The sequence below is a fragment of the Homo sapiens genome, chromosome 13 (assembly GCF_000001405.40).
Source record: "Homo sapiens chromosome 13, GRCh38.p14 Primary Assembly".
NCBI lineage: Eukaryota > Metazoa > Chordata > Mammalia > Primates > Hominidae > Homo > Homo sapiens.
Window position 1 is genome coordinate 36,880,185 of NC_000013.11, and position 24,781 is coordinate 36,904,965.

The 24,781-nt window shown below is 39.1% G+C and overlaps 1 protein-coding gene across 20 annotated transcripts in view; it reads right to left on the bottom strand.

The window, feature by feature from the left end:
* The window catches only part of SMAD9 (SMAD family member 9), a 76,024-nt gene that overhangs the window by 35,354 nt on the left and 15,889 nt on the right, over nt 1–24,781 (bottom strand). The window contains exon 1 of one of the 20 annotated variants that reach the window (XM_047430355.1): nt 4,481–6,859. The exons of 16 other annotated variants lie outside the window; for them this stretch is intronic. The gene's annotated coding sequence lies outside the window, so the exon portion shown is untranslated. Of the gene's footprint in view, nt 1–104; nt 594–4,480; nt 6,860–24,781 lie in introns of those variants that run through there. 3 more of the 20 variants (XM_047430364.1, XM_047430359.1, XM_047430360.1) reach the window with 3 other exon arrangements.

The following is a 24,781-nucleotide window of genomic DNA, read 5'->3' on the forward strand; positions in this document are numbered from 1 at the left end:
TTTGTCCTTTCTCTCCATTTCTGCCAACACCTGAGGTCTGACTCACCACACCACTTCTCTGAAGTAGCATCTCTCTTTCTCTCTTTCAATTCGAATTCACTTACTCCCAAACACAGCTCTTATCATTTTCCCATTTAAGAAATGACAGTGGCTCCTTGGTCTCCCAAGTGTAAACTCCTCTGCCTGGGTTTTTCCAGGGCCTCCATAATCTGCCCTCAACATGAGTATGTTCTTTCTTTCTCATTTTTAGTTTGCACAAGCAATCCATCTTCTTGTAGAAAATAAATACTAATGAAAAGAAAAGAAAAAAAGAATCGTGAATAATCTCACCACTCCTGGACAGCCATTCTTAACATAGTCTTCCAAACTACTTTTCAGGACAGTGGCTCTCAAAGTGTGCCCCAAGGATCCCTGGGAGTCCCCTGAGATCCTTTTAAGGGGACTATGAGGTTCTCTCTTTTCCAATTACTTATTTGTGTGAACTAACTTCGCTTCACATACTTCAACCAAAACAACATAACACAATAGAGTATATGGAGAAAAGATGACAATCTAGGTGCCATTTATTAAGCCAAGTATTAAATAGATTTGCAGTAATATAAAACAATAATACTCTTCTCAATAACTTTTTTGAAAACAATGTTTTAAATAAAAATATTTTATGTTAATACAGTTTTTTTAATGATTCAATCAATATTTTTTTAATTTCTTAGTTTCAATTTTTAAAATGGTAAAAATTGATAGATACAGCCTACAGAAGCAAGAGTTCTTTGGAGTTCTCAATAATTTTTAAAAGTGGAAATTTTCAAGACCCAAATGCATGAGAACTGCTTTTCTAGAAATTATACACTATCACACACCAATACATACACAAAAAAGCACAGCTGTCACATTTGTTATTTGGCCTAAAATCAGCTTAATTCTTCTTTGCCCTGTCATCCACAGGAGATGTTCTTTCCCAGTTATTCAGCAGTCTCATTTAAATTTCCTGAGGTCGAACTGTATTTCCTCTTCTGTGAAATAGTTGGCTTAAACAAAACCTCCTCCTCCTTCCAGATTTTAGAAACCAGCTACCTCATTAATGTTTAAAGTGGCTGGCTGGTAACATTTTGGAGTAAGCTGACTCAAGTATTTTGGGATCTTGGAATCGATGTAGCTTATAATCTCCAACAATTGTTTGTTTAATATGCATTAAATATAATTTTCTCCTTTGCTTCCCTGGAGGGCAAGCTGTACCTTTCTGAGTCCAATTCTATAAACTTCTTTCGAACAAAGGTGCCTTATAACCCCCCGCTAGGGTGATCATTATCGGGCACCTCAGGTGAGGAGGATGGCAGCATGGTCCCACAATAACGGATGAGATTTAATAAGTATAAAGCAATAGTCACATCACTTTATTCCTCATCTGGGCTTTATCTGGCATTGTACAGAGATAAACTATGACAAAAGGGAGAGTTGAGAGCTCCATAGCTGCTCTTTTCGCTTGGCAGTTTGACTTACACTCAGTTTTATTTGGAAAGGTTGATTTTGTGGCTTAACAATCATGAATTTATAAAGTATAGTTAAGTCATTGTGTTCAAGTTCTGTTTACTTAATCTAGTCAGGCTGCCTTAAAGCAATGGCTGAAGAGGGTTAGAAGCTTTAAGGAGAAGTCTCATGATAGAATAACCTGAACCCCAAAAGAGTTGTGAATTCTGCTTAGTTTTACATGGAACTCATTATTAGTAAGTTGTGGTATAGATCTTTAAGCTGAGGTCAGTCATAGAGAAAAGCTTTTTATAAAAACACTCAGCGAGTTAAACCAAATACACCTTTTAGAAACTTTTGCTCCATGAAACAACAGTTCCCTAAACCAGGTTTTGTTTGGTTCGTTTTTTTAAACTGTGGGTTTCTATTTACCAATGGCATGTGAAATCAATGAATTGGAACAAAACAGCTTTTGCACAAACAACAAAACAAAACAGACTTTATTGCAGAGCAGCTGACGAAAAATAAGTATAATAATAATCATTTCATGAAAAATTTTCATTCACAGGTATGTGCTGTGTGTGTGTGTGTGTGTGTGTGTGTGTGTGTATGTGTGTGCGGTGTATGTGTCCAGGGTTACAATGGAAAATTTACTTGTTAAGTTGGGTTACAATAAAAAAGTTTGAAAAGCACTACTCCTAAACCATACATTTTTCTTCAAACTGTCTGTCTGAGGTTTCCCTTGATGAGTGACCTTCAGTGGCCACCACACTTTCTCATCCCTTGGGGAATTCCCAACTAGTCATGAATCTAGGGTCTGAAACATCTCGGGTCTCTGCAGACCGATCTCACTGACACATTTCAAATCATTACAGTGGTCTCACGACAGTTCCAAAACTGTGATTTTACTGCTGCAAGATACCACTCCTGTCCCATTAAACACAGGCCCTTGCATTGAGGGAGGCCCCAAAGAGTTAAACTTAGAACTTCAAGAGTGATAAACACCCAATTCATAACAGTGGCCTCCAGGTAGGCTAGAAATAGATCGAAAAGATTTTAATTAGGCTGACTGGTGGGTATACAGATGTTCAAAATATTATTTTCTATGCTTGTTTGTATGCTTGGCATATTTTTAATAGAAAAATTAATTGTAAAAAATGAATCATGCCAGGTGTGGTGGCTTACAGCCTGGGTTCCAGCTACTCAGGAGGCTGAGGTGGGAGGATCACTTGAGCCCAGAGGTTTGACTCTGCAGTGAGCTATGACTGCACCACTACACTACGGCCTGGATGGCAGAGACCCCATTTCCTTGTCTAGGTTGTTTCTATTTGTCCAGGCAGTGCACTTTAGGGTTCATAAAGGTTATTCATTCTCATTCCTATAATGTTTTAGCCACTAGTAGAACAAAGGGCCTCCCTGTTTGTCTCCAGGTGGTCATCGCCCTGACATTAACAGTGTAAGTTTATTCAGTTGTGTCAACCTGGCTCCGAACAGCTTTCCATTGTCAGAGAACTGAAATGCCCACAGACTCTAAGCTCTAACCTACTCTCATCTCCTGATAACTCCACGGCCCAGGTTCACCATAACAAAACAGAGCACCCTCAGAGCATTCACTGAAAAAAAAACTGGTTGCAAAAACAGGAGGGGCGATTAATATTTCTCTCAGTTACTACATTTCCAAAAAGTGCAAAGAAGAATGAAACAAACAATAAGTGAGCCCAACCTGAGGGGGCGGAAAGTCTGGAAAGATTCCTGAGAGGATAACTGGGCTGCACTTAAAAGGATTTAAATCACAGTTAAAAATAAATAAATAAACTGGCCAGGCACAGTGGCTCTCGCCTGTAATCCCAGCACTTTGGGAGGCTTTGGCAGGCAGATGGCTTGAGCTCAGGAATTTGAGACCAGCCTGGACAACATGGTGAAACACCATCTCTACAAAAAATACAAAAGTTAATTGGGCGTGGTGGCGGGTACATGTAGTCCCAGCTTCTTGAAAGGCTGAGGTAGGAGGACGGCTTGAGCCTGTGAATCGGAAGTTGCAGTGAGTCATGATTGTGCCACTGCACTCCAGCCTGGGCAACAGAGAGAGACCCTGTCTCAAAAAATAATAAAAATAACAAAAAATAAAAATATAAACTGTGGTGGATTAGGATAATTTTCCAAGATTTTTTGGTGTGGTATAGTCTCACTTTTGTAAGAAAATCGTGTATCCCTGTCACAGATCAACTGTGTGCTCTTAGGCACGTCATGCTGTCTCTCTGGACTTCACCCCCTCCTCATTTGCAGATCAAGACAAGGCTCAGTCTCCAGGGAAGGGTGTTTCTGAGCGATGGGTCCAGGACTCCATGGCTGTTGGCTGGATGTGTCACATGGGATCTCAAGACTTGCTCAGCTGTTTTGATGCTACTGGGACTACTTGTAGTAGTCTGAGCGCGACCTTCACTCATGACACTTCACAGCACAGAGCAGGGCAAAACAACAACTCTGACACCGCTATCAAACTGGCCCTGTTAATAACAAATATCATCTACCAACATGAACCAATTCCCACTTTGCTCTCCAGCTACTTGTTTCATTTTAGTATTAATTTCTGCAAAGGAATAAGAGTAAAAGCATATACTGGGCGTTCCTGTGTTTGAAACCATTGGTCAGTGCGTGATTAGCGTTCATAAGCCCAGATCCCCCACAAAGCCTCCTGCTGGCCCTTACAGCTTTCCTTCTTTGGGCAGAGAGAAAAAACACCATGACTGTCCTTTCTTTGGAAAGGACACACTTCACACACTTGCAGCATAAAAACAGTACTTTTTTCTTTTTCTGGCATTGAGTTTTACAATAAACCCCAACTGAGTAAGAAAACAACTTCTCATTTTCGAGTCTCTTAAATAAACAAGCCCACTTAAAAGAAAAGCAGCGCTGACCACATGCATACACCATGATTTAAGTGTACATGATTCCACACTAAAAAACAATTTACCCGGCTGGGTAACAGTACAGGAGACATAAGCTTTTTTACTTTAAGTTGACGGTTTTAAATCCAGCTCCCATTAGCAGTTACTGAAGATGATTTCCACTCAGTTGGTCTCCTTGGAAGGTTCAGTTGGTGATTTTAATCCTGAAGAAAATACAATTTTAAAAACACCGTTTGAGATGGAGCATTCCTAAGCCCTGGGCACATGGAACCTTTGAGCAATCCTTCACGGGCACTGCTTTTGGGTCAATGTGGCCAAGGCCTCCATCACCTACCAGGGTGCACAATGCGCTCAGCCCAGGGGGTCAGGGAGCACTTGTTTGTTCTGCGAGGGCCTAGTCCAGAAACAATCACCCCGATAAAACATCATGATTTCCTTATTTGTTTTTGTCTTTTAATTTTTCAAACTTATCAATTTTGACCCGCTAATCCATGACCAGCATTAAGTATACCTTGGTATCTATAAGACAGTTTACTAACCAATTTAGAAAGTGAACACATTTGCTGAAGGAACATTTAATCCCCTCCAAGAAACATATTGTTATCTAGACTATTTCTGCAGCACTTTTTGTACACTGGTAATTAATACAGCCATAATAAATGCTTATTTTACTTTATAATAACTTATTTATACTTTACACACAAGTATAAAACTATGTCCAAAAGGACTTCTATCTAGAAAACAGCTGGCTGTTATTATCACCATTGGCACACATATATCATGTCTTATTACCGTACAACTTGAGAAGAAACTGGGCTTAAAACACACACACACACACACACGTATATTTAATTCAAATTTGTCCTCACTTAAAGTAGCCTGGCATTCCCATATGTCCCAAATGAGTAGCAATCATAAGCTGTATTATAAGACATAATCACTTTATGCATATACCCGTTTAGTACCATGCAGTTGGATACACATAGAAATGGTATCATAATTTCACCTTCTGGAAGGAGACTTTTCTAGCTGTATTCTGAGGTTTCCTAAATATCCATGAAGGGTCAGTTCTAGTTTTCTGGGTGGAATACCTTTGGTCCACAGCACCAAAGAAGACAACAGAGACAGGGGAGCTCTATCTAGGGGGCCGTAGAGAGATTCCAAGGCATCTGTGGACATTTGAATTGTATGCTCATTTTGGGTGATTGCACAAATACTGAGTTTTTCTAAGGCAACAGTCCATAGGTATTCTTCTTTAAATTCTCAAAAGAGCCTGTGACCCCAAAAAGGTTAAAAAAACAACAACACTGAATTAGAAAAAGGGGGAAAAGGAGAAAGTAAGAGTAAGAAGAGGACTAAGCTAAAGAGACTGTAGAGAGTAGCTGACTGTTCTCACTATGCGGGTACTGGGAAGAGCCTGGAAGGATTACAGTGCATGGAGATCATAAGAAGAACGTAGAGGGGAGAGAGGCAGATGGCCAACGCATATTGACTATCTTCATGATAAGTGCCTTAAGTACATTTACTCACCGAATCACTGTCACAGCTGCATGTGCTCATTAACCCCACTTGACATGTGAGGAAACCAAGGAACACAGAGATTAAGTATCTTGTAAAGGTCACACCACTAGTAAGCCAGGATTCAGACCCCTGCAGTTTGGCTCCATACATCCTAAACCACTGCACCATAATCCCGCTCCCAAAGGACATGGGAGGAAAGCCACATGGGTGCGTCCCCTGACAAGGCGAGACGGACAGCAAAAGACCCCCTGAATCCAAGGCTGGGCCTGAGCTGTACTGAAATGCAGGAGGATGGGAGATGGAGCCCAAATGGCGGATATGTGAGAGAGAAGCCCTCCAAGATCTCCTCAATCTCCAAAACGTTGTGGCTCTAAAGGGGCATGAAGCACAACAGAGAGGTTGGCTCTGTCTCCTAAAGGAAAGGACAAATCCGAGCTGAGCTGCATGTCAGCCTCCATTCACTCATTCACATATCTCAGCAAATGGCCCTGATATGAATGCCTATCATGTGTCAGGCCCTGCCCAGTGGGGAGCAAAGCAGACATGGCCCTTGCCCTTACAGGGCTTAGAAACTGTCTGGATATGAAACATGTAAATATTAACAAGCCATGAAATCTTATGCAGGAACAAACATGATTGTGGGGCCAGGGACCTGCTTGGACTTCTGGTGAAGACCCCTTGAGGAGGTGACAATGAGATCAAGAGGACGAGAAAGTGCGGCCACTCCAGGGGCTGTAGAGTGAGACCTCCAGAGAAAAATGCCAAGAGGGTGGCACAGGGGTGGAGAGAATTCCATGCATTTGGGTAACTGGAGGAAAAACTGTGGCCAAGGAAGAGTGGGCAAGGGTGTGAGTGGCTGGAAGTGAGGCAAGAGAAGACACGAGTGTCCTGCTGGAGCTGGAAAGCAGCATATGGAAAATGGGTTTTATCTAAAGTGCAAAGGGGAGCCTTTGAATGGGTTTTTTTTTTTTTTTTTTTTTTTGTAGAGACGAGGTCCAGGCTGGTCTTGAACTCCTGGACTCAAGTGATCTTCCTGCCTCAGCCTCTCAAAGTGCTGGGATTATAGGCATGAGCCACCATGTCCAGTTTGAATGGGTTTGAAAAGCAAAGAAGTTAAATGATCTGACTAGATCTTTTTTTTTTTTTTTTTTTTTTTTTTGAGATGGAGTCTTCCTCTGTCTCCCAGGCTGGAGTGCAGTGGCGCGATCTCAGCTCATTGCAACCTCCACTTCCTGGGTTCAAGTGATGCTCCTGCCTCAGTGTCCTGAGTAGCTGGGATTACAGGTGTACACCACCACACCCAGATAATTTTTGTATTTTTAGTAGAGATGGGGTTTCGTCAAGTTAGCTAGGCTGGTCTCGAACTCCTGACCTCAGGTGGTCCGCTCGCTTCGGCCTCCCAAAGTGCTGGGATTACAGGTGTGAGCCATTGCGCCTGGCCGACTTGATCATTTTTAAGTGATCGTCCTAGCTGCTTATATGGAGAACAGATCAGATGGGGGAGCAAGTAGAAAACAATGTAGAAGGACAGATGAGAGAGCTGGGAGACCTGGCAGAGGTGGTAGTTACTAGGAAGGTAAGGTCAGTGTGGTGTGTTTTGTTTAAAGATGAGGCTTCTGGAGAGAATCTTACTCATTTTACTGATTATCCATAAAAAGGAGAGATGCATGTGGCAAAAGATAGAAGTGGGACAACAGAAGGGAAGAGGAGTAAACGGGAGCAGATACAGGCAGGTTTGTCTATCTGGTCACAGGATGATGAGGGTGTTCCCTCTGAAAACTCCAAGGTTGCAGAGAAGTTAGTGAGACAGGCAGCAGGAGGGGTGACAGATTTGAGGAGCAAGGAAAAGGTAGGAAGTAGCCACAGTGTGGGGAAGCAGAGGTGTGTTCTGCATAGAAAACAAAAGGCAAACTCCAACAGGGGCCCGTCTGCCAGAAGGGCTGACAACAAAGCCACTGCAAGGGTCCCACTCTGAGGAGTTTCAGAAAAAGGAGCTCCACTCTCAGAATAAATGAGCACTGCTGTTTCAGGGTGTTCACCCTGCAACCAGAGTTGGTTACGGTTATGGTTTGGCTCTGTGCCCCCGCCCAAATCTCATCTTGAACTGTAGTCCCCACTTGTCGAGGGAGGGATCTGGTGGGAGGTGATTAGATCATGGGGGAAGATTCCCCTCTTGCTGTTCTCGTGATAATGAGTTCTCATGAGATCTGCTTGTTTGGTAAGTGTCTCGCACTTCCCCCTTCTCTCTTTCCCTCCTGCTGCCATGTAACATGTGCCTTGCTTCCCCTTCACCTTCTGCGATGATTGTAAATTTCCCTTTCGAGGCTCCCCAGCTATGTGAAACTGGAAGTCAATTAAACCTCTTTTGTTTATAAAGTACCCAGTCTCAGGCTGTTTCTTTATAGCAGTGTGAGAATGGACTAATACAGCTTACTGCTGGGCTCTTTTCACCTTTATGATACAGAAGGTGACCAGAGCTGGATAAAGAGGCAGAAGAGCCAGGCAAGTATTTGGGCACTTATGTATAACAGATGCAAAAATATCACTGCAATCAACTCCCAAATCATACACTGATCATGTTATGATGGAAGTAGGCGGTGCTCTCAAGTGGGAAAAAACAACACTCCTAAATATGTTTTGTGATGTGCATGACACTTGGCACCTGGAAGTGAGGAAGTGGGGAGACATTCTGAAATGGGAATACAGAGTGTTTGTGTGCTTTACTAAAGGATGTGATTAACTTGATCGTCCTTTGAACCCTTTTAATATAATAGCTTAGAGAGGAAGGGAAAACACTTTCATGTGCCAGAGAGGACGCACATGAAACTGACCACATTTGTTGCCTTTGGAAAGGGAACATGGCCAGAGGAGAAGAAGGGTGGAAGACATTTCAGTTTGCATTTTATATCAACTGAAAAATGCCTCCCAAGTCAGAAAAATCACAATAGGAAATTGAGAAGAGGACTGCAGAAGAGTGGGAAACAGGTTGCCCACTGTCTTTCCAAACACTGATTCTGCTTCAGAAGAAATATCATAATTGAATTTATTTCTGAATAAACGTTTTATTAGCAAAGATTCATTTTTTCCCACCCTTCCTCAAAACGCTTTGAAGCAGTATAATATGATTAGTGTCTCTGGGGTGCCCACATATTCTGGTCCAGCTCTTGTTAAGACCACAGGAACACTGGGTTTCCTGTATTCATCAGAAAGTTGTGTGCTATTTACTTTAAAATGTGGCTCCATGTTTCTTTCATGCTCAAGATAAGTCTTGCACTTTCCAGTTAGACAGCAGGTAGTGACCACCTTTCTAACAGGGACAATCCATTCATCACGAGCTCCTACTTGTCCTAAAACTCTACTTAAATCGCAAGAACTCAGCAGACAAATGAGAAAACAGAAGCAAAATGGGCCATTAACTCATAGAACAAAGCAGCCCATGTTACTTAAAGGCAATTCTTAATATAGATCTCCCTCTAACAGGCTTTTTTATTTTTATTAGACTGCTTTGATTGAAATTTTATGTATACACAAAATTATATCATTACATTACTGACAATGAAATCAATTCTTCCTGCCCTACTCTATTTGTAACTCTTAATGTGTTTATAAAACATCCCACATTCTCAAGGAGAACAGAATCAAGGCCAACTATTTTAGCATGAATGATTATCAATTACAAAATGTAGATCCTTAGAAATCTATTTTTATTGAATTGTTTATCATCTGGTAAATAATGATTGCCCTTAAAAAGAACCAAACCTCTTATACTTTGGCAACCTCAAAAAGAATACCCCAGATCTTATGCAACATCAAAAGGTGTCCTTACTCCAGCAATTCTGACCCATGAAAATCTAAGTTTATCAAAAATATAAACTTAGGAAAGATTATTTGTCTTATGAAATAAGTCATAATACATGTAAAAATATGATTCAATTTACAAAAATCTGATTCACAGACAGCTTTTTCAGGAATAAATATCCTTTTATTCAATGAACATTTACACCAAGCTCTTGCTGTGTAACTGCTAATTTTACTTCGAAAGGCATATCTAATTTTTTTTCTTTCTTTTTTGTTTTCTAAAGGCATATTCAATTTTTTGGTCAGAAAAAATCTATACCCTTTAGTAAAATTAAGAGATCTCAATATACATTTCTACTTCCAAAATATAACTCTAACTTTTAAAATGCATTGTGCTTATCTTTTCATCTACATGTTCTGGAAGGGCACTGAAGAATATCACTGTTAAGCAAACTGTAAAACAAATCAAATTAGTTTTGAGGACGCTTTATAACTCTTTGCCCATCAAAACACCAAGCATCCTTAAAACTTTAAGAATTATACAACTGTTCCAGCTTTTTGGTAAACAATGCAGCAAGTAATATTTTATTGACGTAGTCAATGAACCAGTTTTTTTCAATGTTCCCAGCATGTCCTTCAGAAAACAGATAAATTGTATTTTTCTAAATATCAGACAATACCCAGGTGGAACAGCTTAGCTTGAATTTGGAAGAGATATTTCTCTTTGTTTAAAGTAGGTGTTTAAAACTGGTTTTGCAGGTAACTAGGCACATTCAACTTTCTTCTCATTGTTGTAAAGTCACCTCAGGAGAGTCTGGATGCCCTTTTTAAACTCTGATGCCTGCTTGGGAACCAGAGAAATGAGCTCCCCTCCAACCACACATGTATGCACTCGTACCCTCTCTCCCTTTCTCTCACCCCCCACTCTCCCCTCTCCACACCCCCATGACCCCATCTCTCTCAAAATCAATGCAGTTCAGCCAAAACAGGAGGAATGTGAGCTGGTGGCAGAGCAGGAACAGTGCATCACAGACACACCACACAGACTACAGAGCATGTTCTTCAAAACGTTCCCTATTTTTCATTCAGAATCTCTCATATGCTAACTCACAAGCCACTTTTATGGGGCTTATTAGAAAATGTATTAACTTCACTCCAGCCTGTAGTTCATGGTGGTAAACCCAACAAATGACCTTTCACTTTTCCTCCTTCCCGCTTTGGTCCTCTGAGAAATACAAATCCTAAGAAGAATGAATGGCCATTTTGCCTAGTCCTACTAAAAACATGTTACTATCTTTCCTTGTGCTTAGGAGTAGAGATTATTTCTAAAAAGCCCTTTAAAACCTCCTTGCGGAAGCTATCCTGATATACTTCTCAACACTTTCATTCATTCTTTGATTCAGTCAACAAGTATTTATTGAGACTCTATCATGCACTGGGTGCTGTGGCATGAGCTATACTTTCCCAGATTCAAAATCTCCATTGCCTAAGGAATAAGAACTCTAAGTCATGATGCCATTAGCCTGCTTCAAATATTCAGAGTCTTAAACATGTAATAAAATATTGGGGAGGTGCTATTTCTGGCCTTACTAAATGGTTTACTAGGTGAAGGGGGAGATGTGTTGCTTTGTTTTATATTGTTTTTATTTAAACATAGGTGGCAACAGAGTGATCTCATTGTAGAGAGTCTAAAACTCTGGGCCAGGCCAGAAGTAATGTATTTTCTTCATTACACCCGGCCTGGTAAGCCCCAGAATCTGTAACTGGCACCCACAGGACAGCTTCCCGGTTCCCTAGGTCAGAGCTGGATGGATCCTAGGGCATAAGCTCAAGCTAATCCAACTTGCTATATTTTTCTCCAGGTGGAAGTCTGAAAATGCAGTTATGGTGTAACTGAGGAAATGACAACAATTAGGCCCTAATCCTGCTGCACTATCATTCGTCTGCTCCTTCCATCTGGCATCTGTTAAATGCTACAGTCCCACCACACAAACAAGCACTTCTTTAGATTTGCAGTTTAGATTCTTAAGGTTGGGAAAGAATTTCAGAAATTAAAAACAAAACAAAACCAAAAACTGAATCTGTCCTGGAGTAAGGGTGAGCTCATCCATTGTAATGAGCTCTGTACCTTCTCAAGCCAGAAAAACACACAGAAAATGACAGAGTACAAGACCATGTTGAAATATTTTTGTCAATGACGATGGTAGTATTGTTGAAATGTACATAAAATGGTATTAATGGGTGACTAGGCTTCATTGTACCACTGACTTGAAAACTTAAACTGGAGCCACTCAGGTCAGACAGATTAAGGAAAGAACCTTACAAAGTCACGGAGGATACATATCCCATGAATAATGAAGTTGGTCATCGTGCAGAGCAAAAATTCTTCCTATGTCAATTTAGTCACTGAATGTAGATGAACAAGTAGATTTTTATGTGCTAAGGAGTCATGAAACACAGCAAAAGCCAAAAGAGGATACACCAGCCTATCAAAGCACCACCCTAGCAAGTGCAAAGAAAGTATCAGGAAAGACATTCTCAACCTTAAAAATTATGGCAAAGCCCACAAACTAACTACACTAAGTTCTTCCTGTGTCGCTTCAGATATTAAAAACCACATTTTGACAAACTCAACCAAAATTTTCCACTAAACCATCTGCTTGTATAAATTTAACCATCATTTGTCCTTTAAAGTTGACATCACCAACTGTCCATAAACATTCCAGTCTTCTGAGAGTGAAATGGATCGGACTACATCAGGAACGACGGAGCTGTTTTCTCAGTAGGTTTAAGTTTTACTAAGTAGATAACTTATCAGTGATGCTTAACTTTAAAATAATCCAGCACAAAGCCACAACTGAGATAGATCAATAGCTGTAATCTTGAGCAGCAAAGCAAAGACAATAACAAGCAAGAAGTACTTTTAAGAAGAGAAAATGTGAAGACATTCTATGCAAAATCTCAAACAGAATGAAGGACAACTCAGCATTCTCCAGTCTTCTAGAAACACTGGCACTTTTTTGGGCCAGAAATGTTTAGTTATAAAATTAGAACATAGGTAAAAATCATTAAAATATCTTCATATAATTTACTAACTTAATAGACTTCTTGTAGAAAACTTAAATTTGGTCTGGATTGGCAAGTGTTGATAAGAATGTGAATAATAAGAATTTATAGAAATAGTTGGTTCAAGAACTGTGGAAATAATTTGCCATTATCTTGTAAAGTTGAAATTTGTATATTATAAGACATAGCAATTCCACAACAAAGTATATAACCTAGGCTAGTTTCCAAACATCAGGTAGAAATGATTAATGAAACCAATTCATTGGATCTCAACCAGCATTTTAAAAAATGGACTAGATTTTATCAGTCATTGTTGATAGTGGGGAAAAATTCTACTTCTTGAAGTTTTTGAAGAGATGAATAGAGGTATTTGTGTATATGTCCTACTGGATCATAGTTTTTTTAAAAAAATTGAAAGCCACTTCCCTAAAGAAACTATTGTACATATATATATATATTTCCCCCTTCACAGATATATATATAAATATAAATATAAATATATATATATATACACATAAAGAAACCACTGCACATACTAGAATATTCATAGCAGTATTACTCAAAAAAGCAAAAATCTGGAAATAACCCAAATATCCATCGACTAGAGGATGAATAAATGACGAAATAATCTTACAATTGAATTTCATATAGTAATAAAAACATATTAATGATATCCACAAAGATTAATCTTAGAAATATAACATTTAGTGAAAAACAGCAGAGCCTAGAAGATGACATAGAGTATGAAATCATTTAGTTTAAAAAGAAATAAAAACTAAATATCCTAGAGATACATATGTGATTAAATTTCATTTTAAAAATCAAGACAATAAAAACACAGAATTCAGAAATTAATGCTTCTGAGCAGAAGGCAGGGGAGTAGCCCAACAAGAAGATGTGGCATTAGTATGTTATACTGTCATATTATATTATATGTTGTATTATTATAATATTCCATAATTTTTATAAGTGTGCTACATATTCTTTTGAATGTATCAAATATTACAAAATAAAATATTTTAATTTAAAACAAAATCCTAGACAATTTTATATAACATGGTCCCTGCTGTTAACAATATTTCTTATCAGATATAAGTTCAACAAAAGTTCAAAGATTAAGAAAAAATAAGAATTTTAATCCATAACTAGAATAGCATTAGAACAATGAATAAGAATGTTAAGAACAGTATTTATTGGGCAACCACTATGGTTTGATACGGTTTGGCTGCATCCCCACCCAAATCTCATCTTGAATTGGAGCTCCCATAATTCCCACATGTTGTGAGAGGGACCTGGTGAGAGATAATTGAATCATGAGGGCAGTTTCCCCCATACTGTTCTCTTGGTAGTGAGTCTCATGAGATCTGACGGTTTTCTAAGGGGTTTCCTCTTTCGCTTGGCTCTCATTCTCTCTTGTCTGCCGCCATGAAAGACATGCATTTTGCCTTCCACCATGATTGTGAGGCCTCTTCAGCCATGCAGAACTACGAGTCCATTAAGCCTCTTTTTCTTTATAAATTACTCAGTCTCTGGTATGTCTTTACCAGCAGTGTGAGAACAGACTAATACAACAACTCATAAAGTTACAAAACTAACACATGGAACAATTAATGAGTAGCCCAAGAATGAAATTATTCGTTATAGACTAGAAACTCTTTCCTGGCTCCGTATCTTCATTCCTGTCTTTCTGCTTCCTGACCTCTTCCTCTCCCCTCTTTTAGGTCCAGTCACCTCCATGGAGTCCTCCTGATCCCCTGCCCGATGCTTTGTACTTATCATATGTCACTTATCCTGTGTGGCATCATGCTGATTGAGGTCCCAGTGGAGAACCCCACCTCCCCTGGAGCCTGTGGTTCCTTTAGCCCCCAAGTGACATCTCATTGAGAAATGCAAATGATGCCATGAAAAAGACAGCAGTGAACTAGCCCTTGTAGAAACATCTCACACCCCAAGAACACTACTTGGCCATGATTTATGACAAATTCCCTTATGTCACACTCTCCTTCGCTTCCATGGCAAGGAGGGCTATCAGTTTTCCCGAATTGTTTGGTAGTGAGGGGCTCCAAACTGCCTATTTACTTAGCACTCACCTCAATCTCCGGCAGTCAGTTCCAGCCAGCACCTGTCAGCTTTAGGTTAGATTAACCAGTTAGATTCCTCCACCACTCCATCAACCCTAAATCCTCAAATCTACATCTTCCTCAGTGTTCCCAGGTCACCCCTTTTCTAATGAGTCCCAAATTTCTATACCCATATGTACCAATGATTTCCTTAACTGTAAACAACGCTGTGATGTGGATATACCTAACCTCTTAGACATGACTAAGAGGAAACCCCTTAGTCTCTTACTAAAACATGAGCTCACTTGCATCTCTGTATCGATCTAAAGATCTAGCATAGGTTTCTCAACCTCAACTAGCATAGGTTTCTCAACTACTGACATCTGAGGCTAGATTTGTGTGGAGGGGCTGTCCTGTGCGTTACAGGGTGTTTAGCAGCATCCTTGGCCTCCACCTATAGATGCCAGTAGCACACATTCCCATCAAATTGTGATGACAACCAAAAATGTCTCCAGACATTGTCAAATATCTCCTGTCACCCTCTGTAGAGAACCACTGATATAGCATAAATCCTGATTCTGCTCAATAATCACAAGATCTTTTAGATTTGGGTAATTGTTAAATAGAAATTAAGCAGAATTTCAGAGAAAGATGTGTTCAATGTGAATTTCAATATTTGGAGAGAAATTGCTTTGCTAATGGCTGCACACAGATTAAGTTTTGAATCCTAGGCATAGGAAATTCAGTGCTTTTTTTTTAAGTTGGCCTAGGGACTGTTACCCAGTGAAGTTACTCAGGTTGAAGACATTAGAAGGATTTGCATCATAGTTTTTATATTCAGATATTAATCTACTTGAAATAAATAGTATTTTCCAAGTCAGCCTGAAATTGGGATTTCCACCTAAGCAGAGACTTAAGTTATTGTCACAGAAAGAGAAGAACTGCAGTTTCCTATTTATGTTACCTAAATCAGAAGTAATGTGCAGTTACAAAATAGATTTGAAAAGACTTAGTTTTAAAATGACAAATGTAAAAGGCGGAAAATTAACCTCTCCCTTATTCTTTCATTCTACTCCCACCCACCCTGTTGCCAATCCTGTTGAGTATTTATTTATTTATTTATTTATTTATTTATTTATTTATTTGAGACAGGGTCTCACTCTTTTGCCCAGGCTGAAGTGCAGTGGCACGATCTCGGCTCACTGCAACCTCTGCCTCCCGGGCTCAAGCAGTCCTCCCACCTCAGCCTCCCGAGTAGCTAGGACTATAGGCACATGCCACCATGCCCAGCTAATTTTTGGATTTATTGTAGAGACAAGGTCTCTTTATGTTTCCTAGGCTGGTTTCGAACTCCTTGGCTCAAGCAATCCACCCACCTCAGCCTCCCAAAGTGTTGGGCTTACAGGTGCGAGACACCAGACCCGGCCGATTTTTTATTTACTAAACATCCTTCAAAAACAACTCTTCCTCTCCATCTTCTTGATCTCCCTCCAGACCTCCCAAATCTCTTCTACAAATTGCCAGACTTCTACAATGCATATCTGATCCTACCATTCTCCTGTTAAAAAGCACCAGAATTCCCTGTAGCATGCTTGTAAATGCTAAGAATTTTCTTTCTTCTCTTCCCTTCTCGGAAATTTGTGTGAATGAAAAACAAGCCAAAAAAAATAGAAAAATATGGAAAAGTTCCTAAAAAAGGCGGCTCAAATAACCACTGTTTATCCACCCAGAGAAACCAATCACTACCAACATTTTTGTGTATTTTTTCTAAATAAACTTTTTTAAATAATTCATTTATAAATATATCTTATATTCTGCCTATTTCAATGAATGGTATACTCCAAGCATTTTCATGTTATTAAGTACTTAATGTTTTTAAAGTTTTGAGGTAGCAAGAGTAATATCCAACTTTTATTTGAATCCTAAGTTGCATTTGAACTTTACTTGCAATACTTTCTTATGCCATAATTTGAAAAAAAAAACAGATTTAGAACACTCTATGTGTAGATTTTATGAGCTGGTTTTCAACAGCTTCAAAGTAACTGCTAAAACAAAAACAAAAACAAAATCTGGAGGCATTTTCCCTCTAGTCATCAGTAAATCTGCTACAGGCCTTCACAGTTCTAATTACATAAGTTCTATGGTAATGTGCTATTATTATGAAAATTCAAACTTCTATAATCAGGTTAAATCTCATCTGACCATCACCCACAGTTCCCAAACCCTTATGCACTCTTTGATGTGACTACTCAAATTAGCTTGGACTTATTTATAGATATTTTACTCTGCATATCTTTACATATTAAAGTCCTTACAAAAAATATAGCATTAGTTTGAATTTTTAAAGAGATTCAAGCATTCTGCAACTTGCTTGAGGATATTTTCTGTTACCAGGACATAAATCTACTTCATTCTTGGTACCTGCTTCATAGTGTTCCATACTGTGGCAAAGCCCTTTCTGCTTAAGCTCAACCTGCTATACAAGAGACTCTCCCACAGTACATGAAATCTACAATATATTCATGACTGTCTATTTGAAAACTGGCATCAACTGACAAAATGTGGGATATCTTCAGAAGAAATTAGAAAGTTAACATCTTCCTAAATAAAAAATAATAATGCAGAATTTGATAACCTGCTTTTCATAAAAACAAAATGTAGAAAAATTCCTATTTTTTTTGAAAACTGCTAATGAAAACTCTTACTTGATTGGGTAAAAAAGGTATAATGCATTTGCATTTTCAGTTATAATTGCTCAATTCATGCAGTTCATGACTTACAAGGAGCTATTTACCCAAAGTTCATTAGTGGAAACATTCCAAGGTAACAGAAATGTCCTGTGTCTTTTTTTTTTTTTTTTTTTTTTTTTGAGACAGAGTCTCGCTCTGTTGCCCAGGCTGGAGTGCAATGGTGCGATCTTGGCTCACTGCAAGCTCTGCCTCCCAGGTTCACGCCATTCTCCTGCCTCAGCCTCCCGAGTAGCTAGGACTACAGGCGCCCGCCACCACACCCAGCTAATTTTTTTTGTATTTTTATTAGAGACAGGGTTTCACCGTGTTAGCCAGGATGGTCTCAACCTCCTGACCTCGTGATCCGCCCGCCTCGGCCTCCCAAAGTGCTGGGATTACAGGAGTGAGCCACTGCACCCGGCCGAAATGTCCTATGTCTTAATAAGGGTGTGGGTTACCCTTATTAGGGGTAGGTAACATAGTTGGTCTACACAGAAAGATGAAAATTTGAACTGCTTTAAATATATTAAAGAAATTGAATTCACAATTTAAAACTTTCCCAGGAAAAATCACCAGGCCCACATGGTTTCACTGGAGAGCTCTATCAAACATTTAAAGAAGAAATTATACACCTACTCTTAAGAATACAAAGGAGCAAACAGTTCCCAAATAATTTTATGAAGCTAGCATGACCCTGATGCAAAAATCTTATAAGATATTAGAAAAAAAAAGAAAACACAAATAGTATTCAGAAAAACAGATGTACACATCCTTAACAAAATATTAGCAAATCACACCCAGCAGTATAGAAAGGACTAACACACATCTTGACCAAATGAAGTTTATCACAGAAATGCAAAACTGGTATTAAATTTGAAAATAAATTAGCATGTTTCACCATACTAACAAAATAAAGGAGAAATGCCATACTATCATGTTAATAGATGCAGAAAAAAACATTTGACACTATTCAATACCCATTCATGAGTTTTAAAAAATTATTAATTCTCACCAAACTAGAAATAGAAGGAAACTTCCACAATCTGTACAGGGTAACTACAACCTATAGCTAACATAATAATTAGTGGTGAAATACTGAATACTTCTCCTAAGACTAGAAACAAAGTACAGAAATCTACTCTCACCACTGCTATTCATGATTGTATGGATGTCCTAGCCAGTGCGATAAAGCAAACAAACAAAACCAAATACAAGCATAAAGATTAGAAATGAAAAATTTTCTGTATTCACAGGCAACAGAAAGAACAAAGTAAGGAAATCCTAAAGAAATCTACCAAAAAAAAATTGAAAAAACTGTTGAAACTAATTAGTGAATTTAGCAATTGCAGGATACAAGATAAATGTACAAAAACAATTACATTCCTATTTACCAGCAGAAAACAAATGGAAAATTAAAAAGTGAAAACATTTACAATAGCTCAAAAACCATAAAACACTTAGAAATAAATTTAACCAAAAAAAGGTGGGGCGGTGGAGGGAGAACTCGAAAATGACAGCTGCAAAACACTGCAGAAAGAAATTAAATGAAGAAATATACCATGTTCATGGATGTGCAAAATCAATAATGTTAGGATTTCAGTTCTCCCCAAATCAATCTACAGATTCCATGCCATTTTGACCAAATTCCTAGCAGTACTTTTTTGTATATGTTGATAGGGTGATTTTAAAATTTACATGAAAAAGTATGTAGAATATGGCAAAATCTTGACTATTGACTAGGAATCAATAAAGTAGGAAGAGTCCAGATTTCTTGGGCACCTGAGCATGCCATTCATGAAAATGACAAATTCAGGAGGAACTAAATGAAGTCGGGGGTAACACAGATGCAAAGACATCCATCTTGGATTTACTGAGTCTGAGGTAGTGAGCTGGATAGAGAGTTGGGGGAAGCACAATATCAAAATGGAATTCAGTTGGTAGGTGGGTTCAGGGTCTGGAGCTCAAAGAAGAGGCTGAACTGAAGGATGGAATCCTAAATTTATCAGCATATGAGGGGAAAAGGAAACTAGTTTGGATGAGATTGTGTAGTATGTGAAAAGCAGAAGCAGAACATTTCATTGAATTATTAAAGTAGCCTTCTATAGTCTCCCTGCTTTACACTAGTCCCTCTATTCATAACACCACAGCCATGTTGGCCCAATTAAAACATAAGTCAGGTCACAATCTTTCCCTGCTCCAATCTCTCCAAAGGTTTGATTCACTCTAAGTAAAAGCCAGAAGCCTTACAATGGCCTGCAAGGTCCTACACCACTACTTCTCAGTACTGGTGGCATATTAGAATGATCCTGCTTGAGCATGAATCCGTTACCTTCCTGCCTTCTTTTCCTTCTACTCTCCCCCTTGCTCTCTCTACTCCTGCCACAAATGCCTCCTTACTTTCCCTCAAACATACCAAGTATGCAACTATTTCAAAGCACTTACTGTTTTTCCAACGTTCTTCATGTTAGTATACACATGGCTGCTGCCCTCATCTGCTTTGGGACTTTACTCAAATATCTTAGTGAAGCCTTCCCTATCTTATTTTATTTTTATTTTTATTTTGTGAGATGGAGTCTTACTCTGTCATCCAGGCTGGAGTGCCGTGGCGTGATCTCTGCTCACTGCAACCTCCACCTCCCAGGTTCAAGTGATTCTCCTGCCTCAGCCTCCTGAGTAGCTGGGATTACAGGCGCATGCCACCACACCCAGCTAATTTTTGTATTTTTAGTAGAGATGGGGTTTCACCATGTTGGTCAGGCTGGTCTTGAACTCCTGACCTCGTGATCCACCCACCTCAGCTTCTCAAAACGCTGGGATTACAGGCATGAGCCACCCGCTTGGCCGACTATCTTATTTTAAACTGCAAACCCCCACCACCCCTACCTTACTATCAACCTTTCCTGATTTATTTTTCCCGAAAGGACTTACCACTAAAACTATCATTATGACTACACACACACACACACACACACACACACACACACACACACACATAAATGTAAATTATTTTACTTATTTTAAAAAAATTATTAAAGTGAAATGCACGTAACATAAAATCACCCATTTTAAAATGAACAATTCAGTGGCATTTAATATGTTCACAATCACAGTGTTATGTAACCATCACCTTTACCTAGTTCCAAAACATTTTGATCACTCCAAAATAGAACCCTATACACATTCAGCAGTTTTTTCCTATTCTTCCCTCCCCATCGACCCTGGCAACCACCAATCTGCATTCTGTCTTTATAGATTTACCTATTCTGAATTGTTCACATAAATGAAACCATAAACTATGTGTGATGAATCATATATGTGTGTGTTTGTGTGTGTATAAACAATTGATAGATATAGTCCATATTCCACCTTTAGGTTATTGTGAATAGTGCTGCTATAAACATTTGTGCAAAAGTATCTGTTTGAGTAGCTGTTTTCAGTTCTTTCGAGCATATACCTAGGAGTGGAATTGCTGGGTCATACAGTAATTTTACTTTTAACTTTTTGAGAGACTGCCACACTATTTTCCACATCATCTGAACCACTTCACATTCCCATCAGAAACGTATGAAAATTCCAATTTCTCTACATCCTCACTGACACTTGTTATTTTTCACTGTTTCTGTTTTTATTATAGCATCTTAGTAGATATGTAGTGATATATCACTGTGGGTTTGGCTTCTTTTTTGTTTTTTGGGCCTTTTTTTTTTTTTTGAGACAGAGTCTTGCTCTGTCACCCAGGCTGGAGTGCAATGGTGCGATCTCAGCTCACTGCAACCTCCGCCTCCCAGGTTCAAGTGATTCTCCTGCCTCAGCCTCCCAAGTAGCTGAGACTACAGGCACGTGCCACCATGCTCCGCTAATTTTTGTATTTTTAGTACAGACGAGGTTTTGCCATGTTGGCCAGGCTGGTCTTGAACTCCTAGCCTCAAATGATCTCCCTGCCTCGGCCTCCCAAAGTGCTGGGATTACAGGCATGAGCCACTGTGCCCGGTCCACTGTGGTTTTGATTTGCATTTCTCTAATGCCTCATGATACTGAGCAAATTTGCTGTCCATTTGTATGTCTTCTTTGGAAAAATATCTATTCAAGTCCCTTGCCCACTTTAAAATTGGGTTGTGTGTATTTTTGTTGTTGCATTGTTAAAAGTTCCTTACATATTGTGGATATATAGACCCTGAGATACATGATTTGCAAATATTCTTTCCTTTTCTGTATGTTGTCTTTTTATTTTCATTATGTCATTTGATGCATGCAAGTTTTTAATTTTGATGAAATCTTTTTCTTTTGTTATTCATGTTTCTGGTATCCTAAGAATCTATTGCCAAATTCAAGGTTATAAATATTTACCAATGTTTTCTTCTAAAAGTTTATGGTTTTAGCTCTTATGTTTAGGTTATTGATCATTTTCAGTCAACTTTTATATCTAGTGTGAGGTAGGGATCTAACTTTATTATTTTGCATTTGGCTGTGTAGTTGCCCCAGCACCATTTGTTGAAGACATTGTTCTCCACTGAATAAAGAACTGGACTGTTTTCCATTGAATGGTCTTGAAATCCTTGTCAAAAATCAATTGGCCACAGATGTTCGGGTTTATTTCTGGACTTTCAATTCTATTCCATTGATCTCTATGTCTATTCTTACATCAATACCACACTATTTTGATTACTGTATATTTGTAGTTAAGTTTTAAAATTAGGAAATGCGAGTCCTTCAACTTTGTTCTTCTTTTTTTTTTTTGAGATGGAGTCTTACTGTGTCACCCAGGCTGGAGTGCAGTGGCACAATCTCAGCTCACAGCAACCTCTGCCTCCCGGGTTCAAGCGATTCTCCTGCCTCAGCCTCCCAAGTAGCTGAGACTATAGGTGCCCGCCACCACGCCCATCTAATTTTTTTTTGTATTTTTAGTAGAGACTGGGTTTCACCATGTTGGCCAGGCTGGTCTCAAACTCCTGACCTCGTGATCCGCTCATCTCGGCCTCCCAAAGTGTTGGGATTACAGGCGTGAGCCACCGCACCCAGCCTTGCTCTTCTTTTTCAATGTTGTGTTGTATTTTACTTTTTAAAAATTATTTATTGTTTCTTTCCCTAGCACAATACGGCCTCAATTAGGATATGGACGTTTGTCCATTTTGTTCACCACTGTACCCTAGCACCTAGAATAGAGCCTGACACATATTATGTGTTTGATGTTTGCTAAATGAATGAGTGGGCTCCTGAAAAGATAAAGTCATCCACAGCTGAAATAAGCGTGAGGATGGGAGTATAAGAAGCGTGGAAGAAAATACCATGGCTAAGTAATTTCTGTCAAAGAGGAGTTTACATGGCAGGGAGGAGGGGAGGCCTAGACCTTGGGCTCTAGTGCCGAGGGGCTCTTTCTTTTTTTTTCTTTTGGTTTTTTTTTTTTTTTTTTGAGACAGAGTCTTGCTCTATCACCCAGGCTGGAGAGCAGTGACGCCATCTTAGCTCACTGCAACCTCCTCCTCCCGGATTCAAGACATTCTCCTGCCTCAGGCTCCTGCATAGCTGGGATTACGGGCACGCGCCACCACACCAGGCAAATTTTTGTATTTTTTGTAGAGACAGGGTTTCACCACGTTGGTCAGGCTGGTCTTGAACTCCTGACCTCGTGAACCACCTGCCTCGGCCTCCCAAAGTGCTGGGATTACAGTCGTCAGCCACCACACCCGGCCTGGAGGGGCCATTTCCAGGCTTCAATGGCAGAGTGAGCAAACAGCAGCAGCTATTGTGTGCAAGTCAGTCTTTAGTATTTCAAATGTACCAAAACTAAAAATCAGTAACTATCACATTAAACATTTTTTTCAAAAATAAAACATCAGGTAAGATGAAATGGAATGAATAACAATGAATTGTTTTCTTTGAACTGAGAGAGAAAATAGCTTTTGCATCTAATCTCAAAAGTCTCCAAAACTTTTAGTGTATACAAGTAATTCTTCTAGATAAGTTAATTTTACAGTCATACTATATATAATGCAAAAGTAACATAGTGACCTTTTTAAAAACATTCTGAACAAAATCTTAAATAAACACAATTATCACACATCACTTTTAGTCAAATTAAATAACCTGGCAGCCACATCAGCAAGTCTGAACATTACTGTTGCTAATGGAACAGAAGGCAGTGAAGAAAAAGCAGAATTACAGGGCACACGTGATAAAGCTTAAGAAACTCATTAGTAATTTTCTTTGATGCATACTATTTACTTTTCCAATGTAAAATATTTAAAATATAAATAATTATGGAAATCCAAAGAGCACCCTACTGTTAATATATATTATGTAAACTGCCACTGAATAACTATTTGTCTTACATAGCAAATACTGCTATGTAAGAGATTAAGCAATATATTGCCGCTCCACAAATCAAGCCATATGGTCCCATCTGTTTCTAGGTTCCATTACACCACACCTACTGCTGGTTAATAAAGAAATTGTTAAGCAGAGGATGCAAGTGTACCTCTTATTTGATTTTTTCAAAATCAACAATGTGTCGTCAATGTAACTTGGCAGGCAGTCTGATACCTGGTGGGAGTTAGATATGCGACTCTTGATCTTCCTTGCCTGGATAATGATTTACAACAATATGTGAAGTGTATAAACTGTCACTAAAATTGCACGGCGCTGGGATTTGCCAGGTGCGAATCGCTCTATCCAAGCCTCAGGGAAAATGTATAATTGCCCTATGCAATCATCCCAGCTTTAATTATGGTCTGGGCCTTTTATTCCCTGGACGGCAGTGACAGTCTGGAGAGAGCTTTGCCACCTGCTTGGTCTTCAATTCAGCCACTAAAAGGCCATGGGCAAATACATTGCCTCAGGCAATTTATTACCTCATCTGCAAAACCCACTCCAAGGGGCAACACTGCTACTCATCCTTCAACCACAGCTCAGACATCCCAGGACTCTGTGACTCCCCCAAATAAAATTATCTTCTCAGTCAGTACCTTGTACATATTTCTATTTTCACTTGGAACTACAATTTATTGTCCATTTGTCTCTTTATTGAACAACAAAGCCTTTAAAGGCAGCAAGTATTTTACTCATTTCTGTAGCTCCAATCTCTCCCATAAAAGAGGTGTTCAATAAATTCTTATTGTTATTTATGTTAAATGACCATAGCATAGCACCCAGTGGTGCCTAGGATATAGTAGATGCTTAATACATATTAATTATTGATAGTTTTCTTCTTTTCCTTTACTTGAGATTTCACTTG